The 1,752-nt window shown below is 46.0% G+C and overlaps 2 annotated features.

Annotated features, from left to right (window-relative positions):
* Positions 211–723: an enhancer, noted in NCBI's record as "OCT4-NANOG hESC enhancer chr2:53737307-53737819 (GRCh37/hg19 assembly coordinates)". NCBI's record gives its function as "activates a minimal SCP1, AML or CMV promoter by ChIP-STARR-seq in naive H9 embryonic stem cells {active_cell/tissue: H9 hESC(naive)}" and the evidence as "EXISTENCE:reporter gene assay evidence [ECO:0000049][PMID:30033119]".
* Positions 724–1,237: an enhancer, noted in NCBI's record as "OCT4-NANOG-H3K4me1 hESC enhancer chr2:53736793-53737306 (GRCh37/hg19 assembly coordinates)". NCBI's record gives its function as "activates a minimal SCP1, AML or CMV promoter by ChIP-STARR-seq in naive H9 embryonic stem cells {active_cell/tissue: H9 hESC(naive)}" and the evidence as "EXISTENCE:reporter gene assay evidence [ECO:0000049][PMID:30033119]".

Raw genomic sequence — 1,752 nt, 5'->3', positions numbered from 1 at the left:
TGAATCCTACCTTTCTTCTCTTCTCCTTTCCTTAGTTCCTTTCAGCTCAGCCAGAGCATGCTCCCTGGGCATCCATCCTTCATTTGTGAGAGTCCATCAAGATTTTTCACTAAACAAAAATGAGCTCTTTGTTCTACCTATGAAGAACATTGGTGCAGTCCCATAACTGCAGGCTATCGATCTCTAGAGAAGTGGCAGATCAGTGTATCTGGACCGTGTCTCTAAAGATGCTCAAAATCTGGAGACAGCTGACTGTACTCAGCAGGGGGCCTTTTTGCTGGGAAGCAGTGCAACGAGGTGAACAGAGCACTGGCTTTGAAGCTGGCCAGCCTGGGGCTGTGGAGCTGGCTGGGTGCATGCTGGCAACTTACAAGTTGTGTGGGTTTGGGCCAGTCTCTTCACCATCTTGAGTCTCAGTTTACTCATCTGTAAAATGGTGTTGAAATTATATAAGATCGTATGTATGAAGTTCTTTGTAAACTGTATAGTACTTTAAATGCTCTTGTTATTATAATATAACAACAATAACAACAACGAACCCAAGGACAGGCTCCAGAGTATTTGTTAAAGCAAGTTTCTTATTGTGCAGGCATGGCTTGTGTGGCCGGGGTAGGATGACCTGGACTAAGGTAAGAGTACTGGAGATGCAGCGGCAGGAAAACAGGACGCCATGTTTTCTACTGAATGACCCACTGCAGGAAGTCACCTGCTTCGCCCACTTGTCCCCACAGAGCTCCTCTCTCAGGAGTAGCAATTAAGAAGGGTCTGAAGTGGCAACTCCAATTAATGACTAATTGCTAAAAGTGCTAGAGGAATTTTAACAAGGCTCCTAATGATCACTTAAGAGACCATTAGGTGCATGCCTGAGGCAGTGGCGTAGCCGGAGGAAAACAAACAAAAACCTCTGATCTCTTGGTGGGGGGTCTCTCCTTCAAGGGCATTTTAAAAGCATCTCTCAATTGGAAGTCCGCTGAGATGTGGCTGCAGAAATAATGCCTAGGACTCCGTCTGTTTGTGTTCTGTCTGTGGATTTCATTTTCAGTGTCAGCAAAAGGAACAGAGTGGAATTTTGTGCAGTATTAAGTGCAAATTTAGAGCTGGGAAATTGACACTTGGCTTTGTTATTTCTCGTCTATTTATATGTGAGTATCAACATATTTTAAAACAATGCTTTGACTACTGCAGCATGTCTTCCTTACTGGCCGATGGGAAACATGGAAAATTCTAGGTAAAAAATTATCTCCCTTGTATTTTCAATGAGAAGCGCTGTATTACAAGAGGCCGAGCGCGCTGGCTCACGCCTGTAATCCCAGCACTTTGGGAGGCCGAGGCGGGCGTATCACGACGTCGGGAGATCGAGACCACGCTGGCTAACACAGTGAAACCCCGTCTCTACTAAACAAAAAATACAAAAATATTAGCCAGGCGTGGTGGCGGGCGCCTGTATTCCCAGCTACTTGGGAGGCTGAGGCAGGAGAATGGCGTGAACCCGGGAGGCGGAGCTTGCAGTGAGCCGAGATCACGCCACTGCACTCCAGCCAGGGCTACAGAGCAAGACTCCATCTCAAATAAAAAAAAAAAAAAAAAGGGGGGGGCTGTATTACAAGAAATTAATCCTAATGAATGAACCAAACATTTGCTACCTTTGTTGGGAGTAGGGTGGGAGCGTGGCTTCTTGGGTATGGGGATATTCTTTAGAGCAGCCCATTTTAGGATCTTTGGTGATGTGGTTTGGCTCTGTGTCCTCACCTA

The sequence above is a fragment of the Homo sapiens genome, chromosome 2 (genome assembly GCF_000001405.40).
Source record: "Homo sapiens chromosome 2, GRCh38.p14 Primary Assembly".
Classification (NCBI taxonomy): domain Eukaryota; kingdom Metazoa; phylum Chordata; class Mammalia; order Primates; family Hominidae; genus Homo; species Homo sapiens.
This window is presented reverse-complemented; position numbering and strand designations above follow the sequence as displayed.